General features: G+C 48.5%; 1 protein-coding gene and 1 long non-coding RNA gene across 4 annotated transcripts in view, besides 1 other annotated feature; one reads left to right on the top strand and one right to left on the bottom strand.

The window, feature by feature from the left end:
* Nucleotides 1-24,015, bottom strand: part of NAV1 (neuron navigator 1) — a 287,843-nt gene that overhangs the window by 200,040 nt on the left and 63,788 nt on the right. For all 3 annotated transcript variants that reach the window (NM_001389617.1, NM_001389615.1, NM_001389616.1), the window contains one exon: nt 3,324-4,077. In NM_001389617.1, the coding sequence (NP_001376546.1) occupies nt 3,324-4,045 (722 nt within the window). In that variant the 5' untranslated portion in view covers nt 4,046-4,077. The remainder of the gene's footprint in view (nt 1-3,323; nt 4,078-24,015) is intronic.
* The window catches only part of LOC124904482 (uncharacterized), a 48,139-nt gene that overhangs the window by 21,055 nt on the left and 3,069 nt on the right, over nt 1-24,015 (top strand). The window lies entirely within an intron of this gene.
* Nucleotides 4,351-4,735: a silencer, noted in NCBI's record as "fragment chr1:201591323-201591707 (GRCh37/hg19 assembly coordinates)". NCBI's record gives its function as "represses an EF-1alpha promoter that drives an FKBP-Casp9 reporter gene in an ReSE screen in HepG2 liver carcinoma cells {active_cell/tissue: HepG2}" and the evidence as "EXISTENCE:reporter gene assay evidence [ECO:0000049][PMID:32094911]".

Genomic DNA, 24,015 nt, shown 5'->3' with positions numbered 1-24,015 from the left:
CACATCTGCCTCCATCTCTCCAAACATGGCCAGGCCTCCATGTCCGCCCTCACTTCTCAGCCTGAGTGGACAGCACTCTGTATGCCAGAAGTCAGGCAGAGGTTGAACCAGAGAGAAGAAAATTGCAGTAGTGACACCAGTAACCCTACGCTCCTGATACCATTAACCATAGTTCCAATTGAAGTCCAACCCAAGGCCCACCCAATGCAGGAAGAAGAGAACTGTTGGGGGTTAGGGAGGTGGTAAAGGGTGCACTGGCAGTTGGGAAAAGTCAGCAAGGGCTGTGGTGAAGCTGCTGTGGCTCTCTTCCAGGATAGCAGAGAGGGATGAGGTTGAGGATGTGATGGAATTAGATGTGTGAGACCAGGGTCTCCTGAGAGCGGACAGGGGATTGCACCTTCTCTGGGTCCAAAGGGAAGTGATGGATGAGAGGAGACAAGCTTCACTGGGAAGGCCACACCAAGGCCCTTGAAAAGAGAGGGCTGTGGAGGATGGGGCAGGGGAGAAGATGGCTGCAAGATTCATTCCCTGGAGAAGCAGGTCAGGCATGACCAGGCTGGAGATGGGGAGGGAAGCAGGTGACCTCTGCTTCTGCATTCCACTGGGGCTTTGCAGAAGGCTGAGGTGCTGGGGCGGGTGGCAGGGAGGGAGGAGAGATTTCCACAAAAACACAATGTCTGTGGATTCTAGGAAGCAGATGGCACCTCCTTGGCTATGAAGCTTTGAAGGGTGGCCCAGCCTGGCCCTTGGCAGAGCTGCCATGGCAGCAGCTCTAGGCCCTGCAGAGTGTGCTGGGTGCCTGCCCATTGGCGTGCAGCATCTCGGAGTGTCCTTGGTCCTAATCGCACCCTTGAGCCTCAAATCTGTCTTGAACTAACTTCTAACCACCATGGTGATGAGTCAGGTCTTTGTGCCATGACCCTCTCTCCAACCCTAATCCAGAGACTGAAAGGGGCAGGGTCTAGGAGGTAGGGTGGTGTGACACATTTCCATTTCTGTTTAAAATGCAAACATGCAATAAATGTTTGCTGAATGAAGGAAACATGGTTCTGTTTAAGCTGCATTAAAATATTTGAATGAAGAATTCTGAGCTCTTTGGAAAATGTCAGGTTCTGAATATACCAAGGGACTTGTAAGGTAGATAATGTAAAATCTTAAACAATTTAATGCCTAGACACTTTTCCCAAAGAATGAATTCAAAATGAAGGGAATCAGGTAGGAGAAGAAAGTCAAAGAGTCACCAGGGAAACATTTTACTAATTGGAAAAAGGCCATTCAAAGGAAGGCCTGCCCTGCATTTCTGCTTCTTGAGTTCTCTCATCAGCTTCAGAATCGAAGTAAAGAAAGTCACAAGGGGACGTAAGTGAGTTGCCCCTTAGGAAAAGAAGCATCAGTGCACTTTGCAGGCAGTACAGTCAGGCAGAAGATATGCTTTGAGAGCCAGGGGTCACCCTGGTAAGACCTCCCTTTGGCTGTGAAGTCAGAATTCTTGCAATAACAGGGAGTTCACTGCCTTCCGGTCAATTTGTAATCCTCTCTACTTTTTGGAAAGTTCTTGCTCTTGAGCCTCAAATCTGTCTTGAACTAACTTCTAACCACCATGGTGATGAGTCAGGTCTTTGGAGCTGCACCAAGTAAATCTAATTCATCTTACAACATGACAGCCCTTCAAATATTTGAAAACAGTGCTCAGACCCTCTCTAAGCCTTCCTTTCCAAAGCAAACTTCTTCAGTTCCTTTCATCATCCTATAACACCTTTTTTGATCCCCCAGCAACGTGTCAGTCTTGCTCTACATGTGTTTTTGTATGTCGATGTCCTTTTAAAACGTGGTGTTCACAACTGAATGTAACAGTCTAAATGAAGCCTAAACATGTGCAGAGTGTATTGGGACCATTCACTTCCTTGTCCTGAACTCCAAAGGCCTAGTCCTGTAATATTAAATTGCATTCAATTTTTCAGAGATTAAGATACACAAGTTGCCTTCTGCTGAAGGTTAAAGCTCCTAGTGGTTCCCTACCCCCACCTCCAGCCGCTCTGATGCCTCAGAGGTCCCTGGTGTGTAAGGGATGATGTACAAGCTTTTCTATGCCCAAAATATAAGTGAGAGTTTCTCCTTCCATTAGCATAGGGGAAAAAATATAGGAAGTTAGTTTAGTCAGGAAGATACTTAATTTGCATTTGGGCATTTCTAAACTATATAATAATTAGTAATTAAAATTTAGTGTACTTACTGAAGTCTTTTTAGTATAATTATATTTTTATTTTTTAAAAAAAGCATAGTTTGCTGGGTGCGGTGGCTCACGCCTGTAATCCCAGCACTTTGGGAGGCTGAGGTGGGCGGATCACGAGGTCAGGAGATCGAGACCATGCTGGCTAACACAGTGAAACCCTGTCTCTACTAAAAATACAAAAAAAAATTAGCCAGGTGTGGTGGTGGGCGCCTGTAGTCCCAGCTACTTGGGAGGCTGAGGCAGGAGAATGGCGTGAACCTGGGAGGCGGAGGTTGCAGTGAGCCGAGATCGCACCACTGTACTCCAGCCTGGGCGATAGAGTGAGATGCCATCTCAAAAAAAAAAAAAAAAAAAAAAAAAGCGTAGTTGACTAAGCGTTTGTTTTTCTATGCAATCAACTTGCAGTGTCTGAAAAAAGCTGGATGTACTAGCTTGTTGGCCATCTTGTTGTGAATACTGGACTGGCCACCTCCACCAACAAGGATGTCAACACCTGTCTGTCTAAAGCATTACTAATTCCTGATATGCCAGGCACATAAGCAGATATGCACAAGGCACTATAGCAAATGGAGTGAGCAAACGAGTGAGAGACAGACAGACAGGTACAAGGTATGAGTGCAACAAGCAGTGTAGATTTTACTTACTAAGTAAAGGCGCAGTGCCCAAGCCAATAGAGTTGGTCTAACTCACAATGTTGGCAAATGTCCCACAATGAATTGGGTGAGACTGACACTGCCTATGTATCTAGCTGCTTAAGCTTCCACGACATCCCAATCTTTATATTGTTCCAGAGAGCAAAAATGGACATTTTAGGGGTACCCTCCTTATGAGACTCTTTTTGTTGTGGATTCCCCACAGTCGAGAAAGATCAGAGCTTCAGTCAGCGTCCCCTTTTATGGTCCCAATCCCATCTCAGCTCTCCAAGCCCCCAACTCTGTAGGCCTCCACCTACCTAACTTCTTTTTGTATCGCCTGGGGCCCTCTGGTCTTTACCAGCCACTGATCACCAGGGTCCCTGTCCTCTTCCGGCTTGCCCCTTGGTCCCAGCATGGCTCTTCCCCCTTCCCTCCCTGCCTGCTCCCCAGCTCACCTGTACTGGAAGGGGGCCACCGTGGCTGTGACTGGCTGACTCTGCTGATGGACTGAGGAGAAGCTAATGGCCCCCGGAGAGGGAGAGGGGCGCTTGCCCTGCACTGGGCTGCAGACTGGAGAGGAAGCCCACGAAGCTGCCCCCTCATCAGGCTCCAAAGACCTGGGGGTCCCAGAACTTTTGTAGTTTATATCTCTTTGGTCTTTTCCTGGGCAGCTTGGAGGCTTCCGACCTTCCGGAGCCCCTGGTATTTGAGTTTCTCCGTGAAAGCTCGTCCGAGAAGGGCTTCTGCCCCGGGTCTGGCAGACTGGAGTCCCTTCCTGGGCTTTTTTCTTCTTTCCCTGGGTGCCTTGTCTCTCGCCAATTCTTCCGGATCCAGCCCGGCTGGAGAGGGCTGCTTTCGGGGTTGTCCTGGGACTATTCCATGGGGAGCTGAAGGGGCCTTCCCCATCCTCAGCTGACTCCCTCACCGCCCCAGCAAACTTGGGAGAGCCTCTCCCCCGGAAGGCCCTAGGAGAGGAGTTTCTAGAAGGACCTGCAGCCTTTCCCAGTCTGGGGGAGGCTGCTCTCTGTGGGCTCAGGGCCAGGCCGGCCTGGCGTGGCCGCAGCTGGGGAGAAGCGCCCGGTGTAGGAATCCTGGTCTGGGAAGAGGCACGAGGCACCGGGATGGCGGAGGCGTAGTGAGGGCGGCTGGCGGGATTCACATTGGCCATCCCATTCATGGTCTGCAAGGCTGGAAGTGTGGGCTACTGTCCTGCAGGGAGAGAGGGCAAAAAAAGACCGTCAGGCACATCCCCACAAGCTTCCATCCTTGAGTGTAGAAAGAGGATGTTGGGGTCTGTGGGGAGGCTCGAGCACCCAGACTGGGCACTGGCACTCCTGGTTCGCATTGTGACTGGGTCACTGGCTACCCGCTGGACTCTGGGCAAATCCCTTTCCCTCTCTGCTCTGAAAAGCTGTTATGAGGCTCATCTGCAAGCACATATGGGAAAGTGCTTTGTGAATTGCAATGTGCTGTACAAATGGGCTTCATTTAACTTTCTTTGACTCTGTTCCTGTTCACTGATTGGGGACAGACTCTCCTTCTCACAGCTCCTCCCCCTCAGGCCTTTCCTAGTACCCCGAGTCTAGAATGTCCTCCACACTAAACAAGTTTCCTCATGCTCTCGGCCTCTGCCCTGCATGTTCCTTCCTCTCATCACTGCAGCTGACCCCTGGCTCTCTTCATAGGACACTCTCCAGTGCAGTGCAACCTTCTTCCACATGCTGCTGGGGCCCAAGGGTGGGAGGGCCAATCACAGTCCCCCCAGATCATAAACTTGTAAATTGGCAAATGCTGCCCCTTGAGGCTCCTGCCATTCCCTGGGCCCTCCCTGCTGTCCCCACCCCCATAGTCACTGGGCATTTGTCACTTGGCTCACAGTCTTCCTCTCCAGCCCATTCCCTACCCACCTCCCCCCATGACAAAACTGACCTCTGCCACCTCCTGCCACCCTCGTCTAAAAGAGACTGAGTGTCCCACCTTTGGTTCAAGGCAGTTCCTTGTGCAGGCCCTGTCAACAGCACTTGATCTTGTCTCTTCCAGACCTTGACTCATTAATTATCCCCTTCTCTCTTGTATCTTCAACCCTTCCCCCTTCACCAGCTTCCCCTCCTTGCCATGTTAATTAATGAATTAATCACTTCCATTTCAAAGGGAATTTAAAGCAGTTTACAAAGATACATACAATCAATTCCAGATAGATTAAAGAGTTAAAGGTTAAAAAATGAAGCCATAAAAAATGTTCAGAACACATGCATGAACGTTTCCATAATTTTGTTGTGGGAGAGGCCTTTCTAAGTACCACATCAAAGGCAGAAATCATAAACTAAAACACTGATAGATGTGAATGCATAAAAATTAAAATCTTTATATGGGCAAAAAACCTTTTCAAAAGGTTTGACACATCAATAAACTATAAAAATACTTGCAACAGACTGGGCGCAGTGGCTCACGCCTGTAATCCCTGCACTTTGGGAGGCTGAGGCAGGTGGATCACCTGAAGTCAGGAGATTGAGACCAGCCTGGCCAACATGATGAAACCCCGTCTCTACTAAAAATACAAAAATTAGCCAGGCGTGGTGGCACGCCTGTAATCCCAGCTACTTGGGAGGCTGAAGCAGGAGAATCACTTGAACCTGGGAGGTGGAGGTTGCAGTGAGCTGAGATTGCACCACTGCACTCCAGCCTGGGTGACAAGAGCAAAACTGTCTCAAAAAAAAAAAAAAAAAAAAGAAAGAAAAGAAAACTTGCAACAAGTATGAAAAACAAGGAATTAACACCTTTACATATAGGGAGCTCTACCAAATCAATATTTGAAAGCAAACATCCCATAGAATAAAGGGCAGGTGGGGCACAGTGGCTCACACCAGTAATCCTAGCACTTTGGGAGGCCGAGCGGGGAGGATCCCTTGAGTCCAGGAGTTTGACACCAGCCTGGGCAACATCTCTACAAAACATAAAAATAAACAAAAACAAAATTAGCCGGGCATGGTAGTGTGTGCCTGTAGTCCCACTACTTGGGAGGCTGAGGCAGGAGGATCGCTTGAGCCTGGGAGGTGGAAGTTGCAGTGAGCTGAGCTCATGCCACTGTACTCTAGCCTAGGTGACAGAGTGAGACCCTGTGAACAAGAAAACTGCAAAAGAATAAATACAACTGGCCAAAACAAAACAAAAACCAAAGACTTTATTAGAAATTGAAGAGATGCAAATTAAATAAGTTATCATTTGTTGCTATCAAATGTACTATATCGCAGAAAATTAAAATATCCAGTGTTGGTAAGAGTATATGGCCATGAGGCTGGGTGCGGTGGCTCACACCTGTAATCCCAGCACTTTGGGAGACTGAGGCAGGCGGATCAACTGAGGTCAGGAGTTTGAGACCAGCCTGACCAACATGGCAAAACCTCATCTCTGCTAAAATTACACACACACACACTAAATAGCTGGGCGTGGTGGCACATGCCTGTAGTCCCAGCTACTCAAAAAGCTGAGGCAGGAGAATTGCTTGAACCTGGGAGGCAGAGATTGCAGTGCACCGAGATTGCGCCACTGCACTCCAGCCTGAACGAGAGAGCGAGACTCTGTCTCAAAAAAAAAAAAAAAAAAAAAAAGAGTATATGTCTCCCATACACTGCTGTGGGAACAATGCCAAATCTAAAAATGTATGCTAGGAAAATGATTACAGATGGGAGCAAAGATTTATGTACAATGAAAATACTCAGTTTGATTCTCAAAGGGTGAATTGGCATTGGATGAAGATGAAGACAAAGGACATTATGGACAGAAAAGACCACCAAAGCATGGCCGGTTCTCTTGAGATCCCTGGGATCCCCCCTTCCATATTGTGGAGAAAGCTGTAAGCAACCACAGGAATTGTTTATGGCTGTTGCTGACCTTTCCCTGACCTTTGACTCTGTGGTCTGGGACCAGTTACAGCCTAAGCTATAAGAAGTCAATGTAGACCCTTAAGCATTAATGGATTTTTAAAACTCCAGTCTGAAGTGACCATGAGAGCCAGGGCTTATTGGATTGCTCTGCAATAAATGAAATAATTTCCACAAGAAATTATTCTACAAGGGAATTGCTATGACCCCCTCATCCTTTTCTCTAATTTGTACTTTAATGACTTGATACCGTTATTTGATTAGCTAAAGCAACCCCCATCCTACCCAGCAGAAGAAGGGCAGCAAAGCCATGTGTGCCCAGGGAATTATCACCAGCTTGCCTCTGCTTCTCCAGTGGCTGCCCATGGTCTAGGCCTGGAGGGCCACACCCAGGGCTTGCCTGCCTCCTGCCTCTTCCTCATCTAGCTCATGCCATTCCCTGCCCACCCACCAGGACACAGACTGGGAGACCCTGTGAGTCATCCTCTACTTGCCCACAGTCTCCCATGAAGCCTATCCAGCTCCCAGCCCCAGCATGCCAAGGACAACCCCACAGAAGGGACAGAAAAGGACTTTCATAAAGGAAACTCGGAAAGTGTAAGCAGGTACTACCTGCAGCTGTGAGAATCTGGGTAAATTATTCAACCTCTCCATGTCCAGTCTGCAAAATGAGGACCAAAGCCAATTATGCACCCTAGACCATCCCTTCTGGGAGCTATATTGGTGAGATAATCCAGAACTAAATCTTGACTCTACCTTCATCTCTCCTGGGAGTTCCTCCCCAACTCAGGTTGTGTTGCCCAACAACCACCCCCAACCAAGAGCCCAACTCACCTACATTGTCCTCCATGCATCCCTGGGCTCCCAGCCCCTTGACTCAGACTTCCCCCAGTCCCTATGGCTAGGGCTGGCTGAATTTCCAGCTAAAAGAGCCCTAAGGCTGAGGAGGCTGCGTCTCCCTCGCTTGCTAATGGAGCAGACGCAGTTGCTGTTTTTCCTGGATCATGATTTTTTCAAAAGCTCGATGGGAGGAGGATTTAAAACATTCCCATGGTAGGTCACAAGAACCCTACCCCTCCCTCTCCACTGCAGTGGGGGCCCTGCTCTCTCCTCCTTCCGCAACTTGATAGCCCTCATCTAGACTGGGAGGAGGATGCACACAGGATTGCCCCCAGGTGGGAGCCTGGGAGGATCAGACCATCTTTGGGTGGTGGAGGAGGGCTCCCCAAACAGTGAGTTATTTTAGCCTGGGTGAGAAAGGGGTCATGAAGTTTTCCTGGTTTGCCTTCGGAGTGAGAACCCACAGGTATTCAGCATCTTTAAGGACACCTGGCAGATGCTTCTGCCCTAGACAGAGTAACAGTCCCTTGTATTGAGACATTGTTTCTAGTTCTTAACAACAACCTTACAAAGTAAGTTTTAGTACCCCTTTCACAGGTAAAGAAAATGAGGTGGAGAAGGTTAAGTGAGCTGCCCCAGGACACACACAGCTAAAAAGTGGCAGAGTGGTGTGACTCAAATGCAGATGGACAGGACTCTGAGGCTCAAGGGTGGATCCCCTTGGCCACACCCGCCGAGAGCATATCCGGGCTCTGCCTACACACCCCCAACCTCCATGATCAACTCTGACCTTGCTCTGATTGGAGCATGGGGCCTTCCAGAGATAGAGTTGGGGGTGGGGAGTGGGGATCCAATTTACAGGGTGGAAACCAGAAGAGAAGATCAGTCATAGGCAGCTCTTGGGGAGGGCTCTTTTCCTTCTCTTATTCTCCCAACATGCTGGAGATCTAGCTAGTTTTCCCCAACCACCTCATACGCTGTTTGCCTTCGGTGGTACTGTAGGTCAGCATGGTACAGGGGCATTGCCCATGTGACACTGTAGGCAACATGCATGGGAGGGGGAAAAGATAGGCCTCATCCAGCCCGGGTGCAGGTTTAATATGCCTAGTTGGTGGCAAGTGGCACACCTGGGTTGGGGTGGGGATTGAGGAGGAAGACTGGAATTTCAGGTCTCTGGCAGCAGGGGTGGGGTGGCTGGGGAAGAAAGGGGAGAGAATACACATGGGAAGTAGGATTTGGGCTGAGGCCCATGGATGATGATGCCTCCAAAGCTGAAAGGTAAGGCCTCTTGCACAGGTCTTCTCTCCTGGGGCCTAGACATGCCTGCTGACTACAAGCACCCAGTTTACATTCTTAATGGACCAAATGATTTGGGAGACATCATGCTTGCTCTGAGGCTCTGTTTCCCTTCCTCTGAAATGAGGGGAACTTTTTCTGCCCCATCTCACTCTCTACTGCCTCATATTCTGTCTGAGCAGATTGAATAAAATAATGTCAGGAAAATGTTTGCTGTCTTGAGATGCATAATGTTAGCTACAATGGCCCTCATCTCCTGGATCTCAGTGTTAGACAAAAATGTGTCTGAGAAGCAGGACAATCTACGTCTCTTTCATTTTATTTGTTCTTGAGACAGGGCCCAGGCTGGAGAGCAGTGGTGCAATAATAGCTCACTGCAGACTCAATCTCCCAGGCTTAAGTGATCCTCCCACCTCAGCCTCTTGACTAGCTGAAACTATAAGGACACACACCACCACACTGGGCTAATTTTTTTATTTTTAGTAGAAATGAGGTCTTGCTATGTTTCCCTGGCTGGTCTCAAACTCCTGAGCTCGAGCAATCCTCCTGCCTCTTTGGCCTCCCAGAATGCTGGGATTATAGGCATGAGCTCCCGTGCCCAGCTTATGCGTCTTAAACAAGGGTCTGTTCAAGCCAAAGAGCTTGCCTGTCAGCATCAATCATCCTTTGTGATAACTTTGCAATGTGTCTGGGGAGTCTCAAGGGCAGAAGTTTAGGGGTAGAGCTGGAGGTGCAAGCAAGGAGAGTGTTTCTTTCTTATGGGAGTGTGTGTGTGTGTTTATGTGTGTGTGTGTGTGACAGACAGAGAGAGAGAGAGAGAGAGAGAGAGAGAGAGAGACAGAGAGATTGGGGAATCTTATCAGATCCTCCACCTCCAAACATGCTCTCTTTGTTCTTTCTCCTTCTAAGTACCCTGATCTGAAATTTCACTTAACCTCAGTGAATAAGAGGAGGGCCTCAGTGCTCTTTAGTTCCCTCATCCTGGGGATCCCAGTCCTCAATAAATTACACTAGGGAGTTAGTACTCTCTGTTTCAAAAGAACATTGCACTTACAAAGGGATTCATGGCAGGATCCCTTTGTTCAACAACCACACACCTTGGCTGGGCACCTTCCATGTACCAGGTGCTGTGGCAATTGCAATGGCTGAGACCCAGGTTCTGCTCTCTAGGAGCTAGCAATCTGGTGGGGAAGAAACACATGCACACTCGTGACAAGTAACATGTGCAGGCAGTGCATGCATCAAGAGAGACAAAACAGGCCGGGCATGGTGGCTTATGCCTATAATCCCAGCACTTTGGGAGGCCGAGGCAGGTGGATCATCTGAGGTCAGGAGTTCGAGACCAGCCTGACCAACATGGAGAAACCCCATCTCTACTGAAAATACAAAATTAGCTGGGCGTGGTGGCGCATGCCTGTAATCCCAGCTACTCAGGAGGCTGAGGCAGGAGAATCGCTTGAACCTGGGAGGCGGAGGTTGCAGTGAGCCGAGATTGCGCTATTGCACTCCAGCCTGGGCAACAACAGTGAAACTTCATCTCAAGAAAAAAAAAAGAGAGAGAGAGACAAAACAGAGTACCATGGGGATTTAGTTGTCATGATCTGTCAGTGAGGCAGGATCTGGGGAGGCTTTTAGGAAGAGCAGTCAGGTTGGTAGTTGGTGGTTTGAGGTCTGGGAAGTAGTGGATTTGATGGTAGAACTCCTCATGCCCCTGGGTCTATCCGTCAGTGCCCCAATACAGACTCCTGCTCTTTAAAGAGATTCTGTGGTACAGTGGTTAAAGAATATACTCTGGAGCCAGAATGCCTGGGTCCAAAGCGTGGCTCTGTCATTTGCTGGTGGTGTGACCTAAGGCAAATTGCGGAACCTCTGAGTTCTCTCCTCTGTAAAATGAGATTGAGACAGGATCTACTCATAGGATTGCTGTGAAGAGTAAGTTAGTTAATGAACAGAAAGTGCTTAGAACAGTGTCTGGCACATAGTAAGGACCAACAAGTATTTCTGTTATTTATTATGATCACAGAGACAAAAAAAAAACCTTCTTTTTCAAGTGTCCCTCCATCCCACGTACCCAGGGATAGAGGCTGAGCTGCCTCATTCTCCTGAGCTTCCAGCAGAGCAGAAGAGGATAAGAACACCTGCCAGGTCTGGATCAGAAACCTGAAGCATCAACAGGAACAACATTGTCCATGCTTCACACAATAACACCCAAATGCTCACAGTGGAAAGGGTAGGAAACTAGACAGCTCGAAAAATGTGTCATGGAAAGAGTAAAGGCTTTTGAATCTGGAAGATCTGGGTTCAAATCCTAGCTCTGCTACTTCCTGCTATGTGGCTTTAGAAAAGTTAAGTTTTCTGAGCCCAGAGTCCGCATCTGCAATAAGTAGTCATAGGGTTTTATAAAGAAGCAATGAAAGAGTAAAGATAAGGCACCTAGCTTGGTGACTGGCACATAGGAAGTGCTCAAGAAATGGCAGAAATTGGCCAAGAATGGTGGCTCATGCCTGTAATCCCAGCATTTTGGGAGGTCAAGGTGGGTGGATCACGAGGTCAGGGGTTCAAAACCAGCCTAGCCAAGATGGTGAAACCCCATCTCTACTAAAATTACAAAAATTAGCCAGGTGCGGTGGCAGGTGCCTGAAATCCCAGCTATTCGGGAGGCTGAAGCAGGAGAATCGCCTGAACCCAGGTGGCAGAGGTTGCAGTGAGCTGAGATCGCGCTACTGCACTCCAGCCTGGGTGACAGAGTGAGACTCCATCTCAAACAAAAAAAAAAAGAAAGAAAGAAAGAAAGAAAGAAATGGCAGAAATTATGTTAAGGAGAACAGCCATACCTCCTCCGTCCTCCCAAAGGGAAGTTGCCAAATTCAGACACAGAATGGGACAGTCTGGTGGATGGCAGGTGAGTTGAGAGGCTGGTGGCTTCCCAGGCAAAGTGGAACAGTCCCTGCCCCTGAACATGATGTATCAGCCACATCCAACACACTTTTCTCTCTCCTCCCTTTCCAGTCTACATCCCACAGCTGTCTGCTGTCTAAGTCTCACCCTGGTACTTTATTTTTAAATCAAACACTTTTTAGTTGCATTTGCTGACTGCCTGTCAGACACTGTTCTAAGTGCTTTGCCTATATTAACTTGTAATTGTTCTATAAGTTGGTGCTATTATTATCATTCCCACTTCAGAGGCAAGGACGCTGAAGCACAGAGAGGCTAAGGAACTTTCTCACGATCACACAGCTAGTAAATGGCAGAGTCAAGATTAGATCCAAACAGTCTAGCTCCAGACATTGTGCTTCTTACTTCACAGCCTAAATCCAGGCCTCAGCCCTAACTCCTTTCCACCCCAATCTTCCAGCCTTTCAGCCTCATTCCAGCGCCAGGCCCCGCCCCATCAGGACAAATGGAGGCTACCTGGCCATTAAAGCTCTGCAAACCCCAGAGCAAGGAAGTGTTTTGGGCCTATAAATATTTCATTCTGACTCAGAGGGTGGTGAGAGCCTAAGCACCAGCTCCCTCTGATCTCCCAGGATGGGGGCGAGGGGAAAGGAAGGCGAGCACCAGTATTCGGCGGCGGTCCCTCTCTCCCCGGTCTGGAGAACTGGCCAGTCGCAAGTTCCTGGCCCCGCTCTCCACCGCCCTTCCTGCCCTTGAGGCGCCCGCAGCAGCTGCCGGGGTTGGGGGCACACTGGGCGGCGGCCGTGGTGCTGATAGGACAGCTCCTCCTGCAGTGGCCCTGTTAAAGGGGCCGCGATTGCGTTTGGGAATGCACTGAATATACCCATTTCGAAAAGGTCAGAACATTTTAACCAGAGCATCTAGGGGTTGGATATGCCAAAAAAAGAAAGAAAGAGGACAAGGAAAATATTTACAGTAAAGGGCTGGAGTATCTCTGAACTCACGCACTGAGATACGGACACTGCACAGCACAGAGTGTTGGCTAAAAACAGAGGTCCTGGAGCCAGAACCACCCCCTCTCCCCACTCGCCCCCAGCCCCATCTTCCCAACCCCCACCCAGTCCCCTCAGACCGTTGTACAAATCTGGGTATTGCTGCTTCCTGCTTTGTGGTCCTGAGCAAATTACTTAACCTCCTTGGCCTATTTCCTCATCTTTGAAATAGGGATGATAACAATATCTACCTTAAAGTGTTGCTATAAAGACTAAGTGAAGTATTTATTATTATTATTATTGAGCCTTGCGCTGTCACCCAGGCTGGAGTGCAGTGGCGTGATCTTGGCTCACTGCAACCTCTGCCTCCCAGGTTCAAGCGAGTCTCTTGCCTCAGCCTCCCATGTAGCCAGGATTACAGGCGTGTGCCACCATGCCTGGCTAATTTTGTATTTTTATTAGAGATGGGGTTTCTCCATGTTGGCCAGGCTGGTCTCGAACTCCTGACCTCAGGTGATCTGCCTGCCTCAGCCTCCCAAAGTGCTGGGATTACAGGCATGAGCCACCACACCTAGCCAAGACTAAGTGAATTATGAGAGGAAAATCATGGAAGACAGTTCCTGGTCCATAATAAACACTGAATACTAGCTAGTTATCATTAAGTCAAGTCATTAGCACAGTTTGTATCTCCCTTCTCTGTTCTGCCCCAAATTTCCAATTAGTAAATTTTGTCAGCCATTTCAGTCAGAATAGCAGAAACATTGTCACCAGAATGTTTCACCTTTAACGTAAATTTATGTTTTCTTATTTGAGTACAAATAGGACAGTCCATTTATATGGGGTTGGTGGCGGGGGGGAGGCGGGGAGAGGGTAACCAAATTACACAGCAGGCCAAGTTTCCAAAATAAATACATTTAAGACTGTGGCATGGGTTAGTAAGAAAGATGGGGAGATCTCTTTTCATAGAGGTCCTTCTGAATTGAGGCACTCCTGAGTACATGAAGATGACTTAGATGCAACCTGTTCAGAGACAGGAAATGGACAGAATGACCTGCATGAGTCCAGAGGCCACGGACAGAATCCCTGGACCCCACACAGGTCTCTTTCCAAGCTTTCTTACAACATCTGACACGTACCCTCCCTCCGCCCTGGAAATCCTGGTTAGTTCCTCCCAGGGCCAAATCTCAACTTGGGCTTCACCTCAGGCAAGAGAGAAGTGTGTCCCTTGGTGCCACTCTGAAGATATGACTCGTACTGCTGCACCCCTCAGACCAACACCATACACACATAGTGACACACACACACACAGACATACACACACTCACTCACACCCTCCCACACAAGCACACTCACACATCAAGACACAAGATACACACTGCCATGCTCCGAGTGCTTGTGTCCTCTCCAAAATTTCTATGTTGAAAACTTCTCCAATGCAATAGTATTAAGAGGTGGGCCTTTGGGAGGAGATTAGGTCATGAGGGCTACACCTTTGTGAATGGGTTAAGTCCCTTCATAAAAGAGACTTGAAGGAACCTGTTTGCCCCTTTCTTCCACCACGTGAGGACACACAGATGTCACCATCTATGGGGAACAGGCCTTCACCAGACACCAAATCTGCTGGCACCTTGATCTTGGACTTCCATCCTCCAGAACCGTGAGCAATAAATTTCTGACGTTTCATTTTAATTCTTATATTTTTAGAGACAGAGTCGCAGCTCTGTCACCCAGGCTGGAGTGCAGTGGCGTTATCACTGCTCACTGCATCCTCAGCCTCCTGGGCTCAAGCAATCCTCCCACTTCAGCCTGCCGAGTAGCTGGCACCACAGGCACATGCCACCATGCCTGATAATTTTGTTTTTTAATTTTTTGTAGAGACGAGGTTCTCACTATATTGACCAGGCTGGTCTCCATCTGGACTCAAGCAATCCTCCTGCCTCAGCCTCCCAAAGTGCTGGGCATTATAGGCATGAGCCACCATGCCTGGCCTGTTGTTTACAAATTGCCCAGTCTAAAGTATTTTGTTATAGCAACCTGAATGGACTAAGACACACACACTCACACACACACACATTCTGACACACAGAGATAGACATATGCACACACAACCTACAAATACATATACACACTGATACACACAGATATACACATTCACACAGAGACACACAGGTACGTGCTCACACACTGACACATACACACTCGCACCGCACACATCATACATGCAACTCACACTCATGCTTATTCTTAAACACACAAACACACACATCTCCAGCTTCCTTTCCCACCTGTCCTCCCTGTCCCTTGCTGTCCCTCGCCTTTGGCCCATTTCCCACCCAGCCCAGGGTGAGGAGGTGCTCTGTGTCCTCCGATCCTCGCTCATCTCAGAGGCTCCAGGCCTCCAGCAGTGTGCTCACAGGCTTCCCTGGAAAAATGAGCCCCAACACCCGTACCTTGGGCACACAACTTCCAATATTTGTGGTTTACAGACCTTGTTCAGCTCACACATGGAGCTAAGGGTGAGGGTATAAAGGCAAATCACAATATTCCTATGCTTGAGAGGAAGTAACTTGTCCCAAGTCACACCACTGAGCAACAGGAGAGCCTGGGGTGACTCCCCCACTCCAGTTATCTTCCCCCACACCACACAGCCCCCTCTCCGCATAAGGCCGCAGTGTTTCCAGACTGGGCATTGCGAGGAGGTCCCAGGGCTGGGGACAGGACTGCAATAGTCATTTACTAAATGTTTATCCTTCTTGTCCAGCCTCTAATCTCTGCCAACCTCTCAGGACAGAAATGGAGGAAGAGCTGAGATGTCGTGGTGGGGAGCGCATAGTAAAAGGATTTGAGCCCATCCTCCTTCCCCAAGCTCTTGCCTGTAGACCCTGGCTTCAGGCTTCAGCAAACCAGCTGGGGGCCATTCAGCTGGGCCTGGTCCTTGGCAGAGAATGCAATCACCCCAGTCTGTGTCAAGAGAAAGACAAGGATGGGCAGCCAGTGGTGGTGCCCCATCAGAGTGGGCATGGGCAGAGTGGGCAGAGCCTTGGCAGGAAGCAGGGGAAGCTGAGGTCTACTGGCTGGGACTTGTTAGCAGAGGGGGTGGGGCTCAGTATCCCCAGCGCCGGCCTGGCTGGCTCCTGGCTCTGAATGGGGATTAGGATTGTCCACAAGCTGTGGGACTCATCATTCCCCTCCCCTTCGCCACCCCCAGGGCCCAGGGCTCTGCCAACACCTCCAGAAGTGTCCTTATCCTTAGACTGTGGCATGGCCTCCTTTCTGGCCAGATGGCAATGTGTTCTTACAGACAAAAGATGGGGCTGGCTGTGTTACTTTCAGGTAAGATCAGATCGTTAAGCTTCCTGTTATTTATAGTTAAGTGATCAAGCAATAGCAAAGATTTCACCTCTTACTCCAAGCCTAGCCCAGCCATTCCCCAGGAGAGGCTTCTGAACACCATACTTCCCAGACTTGGCATTCCCAGAGCAACTCCACCACCCCAGCCTGTGTCTAGAGAAGGACAAATGCTCTTCCCCAGACAGGGCGTCCTGCACCTGTGCCTGCGGACAGAGGCAGGACATGGAGATCTCAAACACACCTCTGCAGAGGAGATGTTCACTGCATTCCTCCAACACCTCCCTCAGAATCTCTCATCCTATCACCCTAGGCTGGAAGTTCTTCCAAGTGTCTAACCTCCATCCCTCCTGCTAAGAATCCAAGTTCACTTCCTGGTTCTCCATTCTAGGGGCTTGTTTCTCACAACCTCTGACCTCTGAGAGAGAAGTGAATTTTGAGCTTCAGGGAGGGAACTCAGAGCCGTCCAACTGAAGACTTGTGCTGTTTCAGCATATTGACATCTTTCGCTGATTTGGTCCACGTGAATGACTCCACTTTCAGTATCCCCAGTTCCTTTTCAATTAGCCAAGAGAAATGATTTAGTGCTAATGAAAATCAATGGTTTAAAACTGTCCCACAAATCACAGGGGGCTGGAGGCCTCAGTTATAAATACTTCCCAGGAAGTTGAGCTGGCATGGGAAGCAGGTGCAGCCGGCACACAGCTTCCTTCACCCTGAGTAGAGCAGAGAAGGTGCCCTCCCTTCTCTCTGCTCCTTCTTCTGTTCCAGGATACCTCCTGCTACATAGGCCTCAGTTCCAAACACCCCAACAATTGGCATGCTCCCCTGCAATGCAAATCAGAGCTTAGAGTTCTAAGCCACAAGGGTATAAATATCTAGGTCATTGGGGAAGTGCCCTGAAGACAATCCCTGTTCCATCCAGGTTTCCCTCTCTCCCTCCTCCCTCTCTCTCTCTATATATATACACTTTCCTCCAGGCCAGAGTTACAAGAAGTCTGGCTTCCCTAACAATAGCTTAGATTCCTGATGGACACTGGAGCTGCTGAATAGGGAGGAGCAGAGGTAAGCGGAACCTTGGGGCTGGGAGAGCTCAGTGCAGACACAGAAACTTGAGCCTGTGAAGACCCCCAAGCCGCCAGCCAGATGACCACGTCTCCCACCAGACCTGTCAGCTCCATCTTTCTCACACTTGCTTTATTATTATTTTTCTCCCCTATCTTAAAACTTCCAGTATTTCTGCATGGATGGGTTTTCCAGCCAGGCAGATGGAGGTAGTATCACTCAACAAATCCCACATACTTCCAGGGCCACTGGTCTGGGGCAAGGGATGAAGGGTCCTTGGTGCCGGGACAGGAGAGATCGTGGGGATTACGGACTGTTCCTAAAGCCCTCCAGCCCAGAGGCCCAGGCCACTTTGCAGTGTGTGGGCTGGTTTCCTGCCTGGAACAGCAGAGCCTGGCATTTGGAGAGGGCTGGACCTAGAGTCAAACCTGTTAGTGGGACTATGTTGTGAGGTGCAGACCAGACCTCTTGCCAAGTGAAGGCAGCTCCAGGCTGGCTACACTAGCAATAAGCTCTTCCTTCTCCCCAACAGCTCAGAATGTGTGAGGGGTAGGGTTGGGGGATCAGAAACTTGAGCTAGGGTCTGGCAGCAGGCCCAGCAGTCACATGCAGCCCAGGAGTCAGAACACTGGACAGGACTCCAGCGCTAAGCATCTTCCCGAGTTACTCAGTCCCTAGGCCTTAGCTTTGCCATCTGAAAAGCGGGGCAAGCAATTCCAGCACTGAAGATCATTCCAGTCCCATTGCCCTCTCTTGTTCCATCGGCTGCTTATGTGTTTCTGTTCTCCAGCAAAGCTGAGTTCCCCTGTCCTGCTGGCTCCAGCAGCCTCCCTCAGAGCCAAGCTAAAACTGTGCTTGAGCCCCCATTCCTGCCAGCACAGCGCTGCCAAGCCAGGGTGACTCCCTGATCTCGGCAGCAGCACATTCGTGTGGTAGTCACGCACGGAGGGAGAGGCCAGGTCTGGCCACTGCCCAAGGTCCCAGCGCCAGGCTGCAGGAGAGAAACCCTCCTCCCCCAGCTGACCCCAATCTCAGAAAAAAAGTCCCATGAGCTGTGAGGCTCCAGGGCGTAGCTGCCCAAGGCCCAGCATCCTGCCAGACACCAGGAGGCTGACAGGTGAGCTTATGGGAGACTTCTGTCAGCAAAGCTGGAAAAGTGCCTCCTCTGTTTCCCTGTCATGCTGGGCAGACCCAGGAGAGCAACTGCCTCCGTTCTGCCTGTACTCGGTGCCTCACTGACCTGTAAGTCCCCACACAACATCTCTGAACGGGGTCGCCTCTGCCTTGAAGGGCTGATCAGGAGGTTAGACCGAGGCTGCCCAGCAAGTAGAGCTACAGCAAGAGGGGCATCTGAGGTGGGGTCCACTGGCATTCGCAGACTTGGATCAGAAACTCGCAGGCCGTGCAGATCAATACCACTTATCAGCTCTCATCGCCACACTGAATGACAGCATTCACTTTTTATAAGTTTTGGGGGAGTTCTGTTCAGAATCCGGTTCTACTTATAAGCTGTGCAGTTTTGGGAAAGTTACTTAACCTCTCTAAGCTTTCGTTGTTTCATCTGAAAAACGAGAATACCTACATCACTGAATTGCTGTAGAGGTGGAAAAAAATAATGTGTGGAGAATGTTTAGTACAGTAGCACATGGTAAGTCCTTTAAAAAGGGTAGTTCTTATTACTTATAAAAATAACATGTGCATTAGAAAAAACTTGGAAAATCTCAAAACATAAAAAAGAAAATGTCTATCACCTATCAAGTTATCACCCCACTAAGTCAATTATTAGCATTTGTAGGTTTTGGGTTCTTCCAGGGTTTTTACTGTTCATAACACACACACACACACACACACACACACACACACACACACACACAATAAAGTTATCATTATACTATATATTTATATCTTTTCACTATATATTAAGCATTTTTACTTTTCATTTTAAAGTCTTCAGGCCAGGTGCAGTGACTCACATCTATAATCCCAGCACTTTGGGAGGCCGAGGTGGGTGGATCACTTGAAGTCAGGAGTTCGAGACCAGCCTGGCCAACATGGTGAAACCCTGTCTCTACTAAAAATACAAAAATTAGCTGGGTATGGTGGTGCATGCCTCTAATCCCAGCTACTGGGGAGACTGAGGTGGGAGAATTGCTTGAACCTGGGAGGCAGAGGTTGCAGTGAGCCGAGATCGTGCCACTGAACTCCAGCCTTGGAGACAGAGCGAGACTCCATCTCAAAAATAATAAAAATAAAGTCTTCAAAAATTATTAAAAACATACTTGTTAGTAGATAGTAAACAATTATGTGAATGCATTACACAAAAATTATTTGGCCTGGCATGGCAGCTCACACCTGTAATCCCAGCATTTTGGGAGGCCGAGGTGGGTGGATTACTTGAGGTCAGGAGTTAGAGACCAGCCTGGCCAACATGGTGAAACCCCATCTCTACAAAAATACAAAAATTAGCTGGGTGTGGTGGTGGACGCCTGTAGTCTCAGCTGCTTGGAAGTCTAAGGCAGGAGAATCGCTTAAACCTGGGAGGTGAAGGTTGCAGTGAGCTGAGATCCTGCCACTGCACTCCAGCCTGGGTGACAGAGGGAGACTCCATCTCAAAAAAAAAAAAAAAAAAGAAAAAAATTATTTGACCACTTTACCACCACTAGCCATTGAGGTTGTTTCCAATTTTCCACTATTATGTATAACAGTGCGACAAACATCCAAAATAGTTTTGCTTGGGACTCTGATTATTTCCACAGGCTAAATTCTTTGAAGGAGAATTACTGGGTCCAAGAGGAGAATCTTATAAAGATTCTTGGTTACAAATTGCAGATTGCTTGTCAAAAAGATTAACCGAGTTGTTTGTCCTCCAATAGTGTCTAAGGGTATTTGACTCATTACATCTGTTTTAGCAATTAGTATCTTGCATCTAAATGGCCTTGCTCAGCAGTGGGAATGTAGCCTTTGCTGGGGGCCTTGAACAGTCAGGCCAAGTAGGGGAGCAAAGCTGGAGAAAATGTGTGTGTGGGGTGGCCCCATAGCCAGCAGATCTTGTTCTGTTCTTCCCCAATGAACACAGATAATAACAAGTGAACTGCTCTACTTCAGGGATTTAAGTTAGAGGTTACAAAGAACTTTCTGTCCATGAAGAGGACAGAAATACAGAATACCAGGACTGCAGTCTTTCTAGTCCTTCTGTTTGGAGTTTGGAGACGCAAAGATGCTCTTCTGCCTGTGAAGTTCAAGGGCCAGGTGCATGGACAGGATGACAAGATGACCCGTGGCCTTAGGACAGCCTCACAGTTCACATGGCAGTAGTAGTGAGGAAAGTGCCAGCAAAATAGCATGGTTGGGTGGGTAGGTTGAGTGGCTATAAGTGCCAGATACTGGCTTGGGGACAGGTCTTCCATGCACTGTCTACCTTGAACAATAAAGACAGACCAGGTAGCCCCCTGTTTTGCCCACAGGAGAGGAGGTTTCGCAATGTGCAAGTCCTTGCCTTCACAAGGGTCCTGGTCGATCCCTGGCCACATGTCCAGAAAGGCAGTGCCTAAGTGCTCTGACCTGCTCCAGCTGTCTCACCTTTCTTCTCAGTGCCTCCCCTTTCTAAGACATCACCTGACTTCCCCTTTCTAGGTGGATCCCATAGCCATGTGGTGAATATATGTCAGGCCTTCAGAGGCTGTGAATGAAAGAGCCAGGGTCCCCATTGTGAACACAAGCCCACGCACCTGGAAATCTAACATGGTCTGGACTTCTTTCCCACTTCCTCTTTCCCTCTTTTTCCCTGCAGTCTCCCTCTAGGCAAAGCAGAAGGGATGCAGAGGCTGCTGAGGCCAACCACAGCCTGGAGATGGACAGAGCAGGGATCTCACGGGGCTCACACCCCCCCACAGTGCTTAGGCAGGAGACTGTGTTGCCCCAAATCTTGTTTATGGTATCTCCCATTCCCCCTCTCCTTAGCCCTCCCCTAGATGCAGCTGGCCAGGCATGGCCCAATTCAGATGCACCCACACCTATGGCTTATTGGAAAGTATTCTCCTTTACCTTACTTGTGCAACTATTAAAAAATCCTCCCTCATTCAGGCTGCCTTCCTGAACTGACCCACAGAAAGGGGATCATGTGACCCAGTCCCATCTGTCTAAACAAAAAATGCCCGTGGCTCTCATTCTTGCCCCTCACATGAATGCCTCTATGCTAGAGTTTATATCCCCACACACAGACAGACTGTCAGTCTCGTGACTTGTTATCTCATGAGGTCTGGGTTCAGTCCATTTGTGACACCCTCTGGGGAATCCTGAGAGTGAGCAAATTATTGCTGGCAAAACTGCACAAATGTCCTAAAATAAAGGGTCTCATCACCTCCTGCTACCACCTAACTTTTTTTTCTCTCTTTTGGCAATACTTGTTGTCATGGAGATTCTAACACAATGGGGCAGGTAGGAAGCCGGTTGCTAGGCAACGAGATGCTGGAGGTACAGGATTGGCTGCCAAGGTCTAAAGGAGCAGAGAGGATGGAGAGGGAAGGTGGAAAGTAGAGAAACACCCTAGGGGCAACACAAAGGCATGGGAGAGAAGCAGAAGACAGGATCAGGGGGAAGGAAAAAAAAAAAAAAAGCAGAAGCCAGAAAACAAGCAACCTCCCTGGTGCTGGGTCATCGTTTGTGTATGTGCTAGGGTGCCCTCAGTAAAAACAACAAAGCAAAACAAATATCCATTAATATATTTGCATAGCTGTGTTTACATTGTAGCAGGATGAATAAATATTTAGACAAAAAGAAGTTCTTAAATATCAGGGCAGAAAAATTCTGCAAGAAAATACTACATACAGGGGAAAGAGCGTGGGCTTTAGTGTCAAAAACTTGGGTTTGAACCTTCACTCCACCCCTTCCTCGATGGGTGACCCAGTCAAGTGGTATAATTTCTTTGAGCTTTGGCTTCCTTCCTTCCTTCTTTCCTTCTTTTCTTTTCTTTCTTTTCCTTTATTTCTCTCTCTCTCTCTTTCTTTCTTTCTTTCTTTCTCTTTCTTTCCTTTCTCTTTCTTTCTTCTTCTTTTTTTTTTTTTTCTGACAGAGTCTTGCTCTTCACCCAGGCTGGAGTGCAGTGGCACGATCTCGGCTCACTGCAACCTCCGCCTCCCAGGTTCAAGCGATTCTACCACCTCAGCCTCCCGAGTAGCTGGGATTATAGGTGCGTGCTAGCATGCCCGGCTAATTTTTGTATTTTTAGTAGAGATGGGGTTTCACCATGTTGGCTAGGCTTGTCTCGAACTCCTGACTTCAAATGATCTACTATCCACCTCGGCCTCCCAAAGTGTTAGGATTACAGGCGTGAGCCGTTGTACACCCGGCCCATGAGCTTCAGTTTTCTTATCTATAAAATAGGAATAGTAGCCAGGCACGGTGGCTCACACCTGTAATCCCAGCACTTTAGGAGGCCAATGCAGGAGGATGACTTGAGTCCAGGAATTCGAGACCAGCCTGGGCAACATAACAAGATCACCACCTCTACAAAAAAATTAAAAATTAGCTAGGCGTGGTGCCACATGCCTTTAGTCACAGCTACTCGGGAGGCTGAGGTGAGAGGATCCTTGAGCCTGGGAAGTCAGGGCTGCAGTGAGCAGTGATCGTGCCACTGCACTCCAGCCTGGTGACAAAGCGAGACCCTATCTCAAAATAAATAAACAAAATGAGAATAGCAGCATGTATCTTACAGGGTTGTTTCAAGGAAAAATGAGATGAAGTGATGAGCTCAGGCACAGAGTGGGAGCTCAGGAAGTGCTCAATCACACGGTTATTTTTGTTGGCCTTCTGTGACCAACCATTTGTTTTTATCTTAATCACCATTATTATGACTAGAATTGAAAGGCTATGCGATGAAATGGAAAGAACCTTGTTCCCGATGCCCAAAGACCTGGCTTCCATCCAGAGTAATGCACCTACTCTCTATGAGCCATGGGCAAATGATTAACCTAAGTCTCAGTTGCTCATCTGTAAAATGGGGATAACAATCTCTCCCTCACTGACCCGGTAGATGTCCTAAATGCTGAATACTCCCATCCCAACTCCCTGCCTGGCCTACTGTCTGGAGTGGGGCTACTTTCCACCTTCAAGGAAGGGAAGGGTTCAGTGATACCTGGATGCCCTTCCAAGCACCCCAATTCTACGTGACCATGTAGAAGACAGTGAAAGAAAATGCAGGCATGTGGAAGACAAAGCAAAGGGACATCCTCCAGGCTAATTTTCAGGCAAATTAATTTTGCCAAAGTCATGACTTCTGTTACCAGAAGCAAAGGGCAGTAGGGTGTCCTGACCCTAGTTACAGATGAAAACGTACAACAACCATTCCTGTAAATTTTACAGTGATGCAGCAATTCCATGTTGAGACTATATGAGGTCCTTTCAGAACATGAGAGTCACCAAGTCATAGAAGAGATACTTAAGGTGGCAGGATTGACTTGAGTTACTGCAGGCAGGTGGAGCTTTGGCAAAATACTGGATGCCTCCCAGGAAACCGTAAAATCTTTTGGGACCCATGAAGTTCAGAGAATTATTTTTGATGTCTAGCCTAAACCTTTCCTGCTGTAATTTTCAGTCCAGTCTCCCTGGTTCTGTACTCAGAGAGCAATTTAACTCACTGAGAAGATAACTGTCTCACCAGCTTCTAGGTTCACGCCAGGACTGGGGCGGCAGGCAGGAGAGCAGTGACTCACACCGACACTGTTTAATTCAGCTGTCTCACTGTCTACACTCCTTCCCGAGCTCTCGCCCCCAGTACTCTAAATCCCTCTGTGGTTTTGAAGCTGACTTTTCCAATAATACCAACAGCATCA

Source organism: Homo sapiens, chromosome 1, assembly GCF_000001405.40.
Source record: "Homo sapiens chromosome 1, GRCh38.p14 Primary Assembly".
Taxonomy (NCBI): Eukaryota; Metazoa; Chordata; class Mammalia; order Primates; family Hominidae; genus Homo; species Homo sapiens.
The sequence above is the reverse complement of the archived record's forward strand: the minus strand, read 5'-3'. Positions and strand labels throughout refer to the sequence as shown.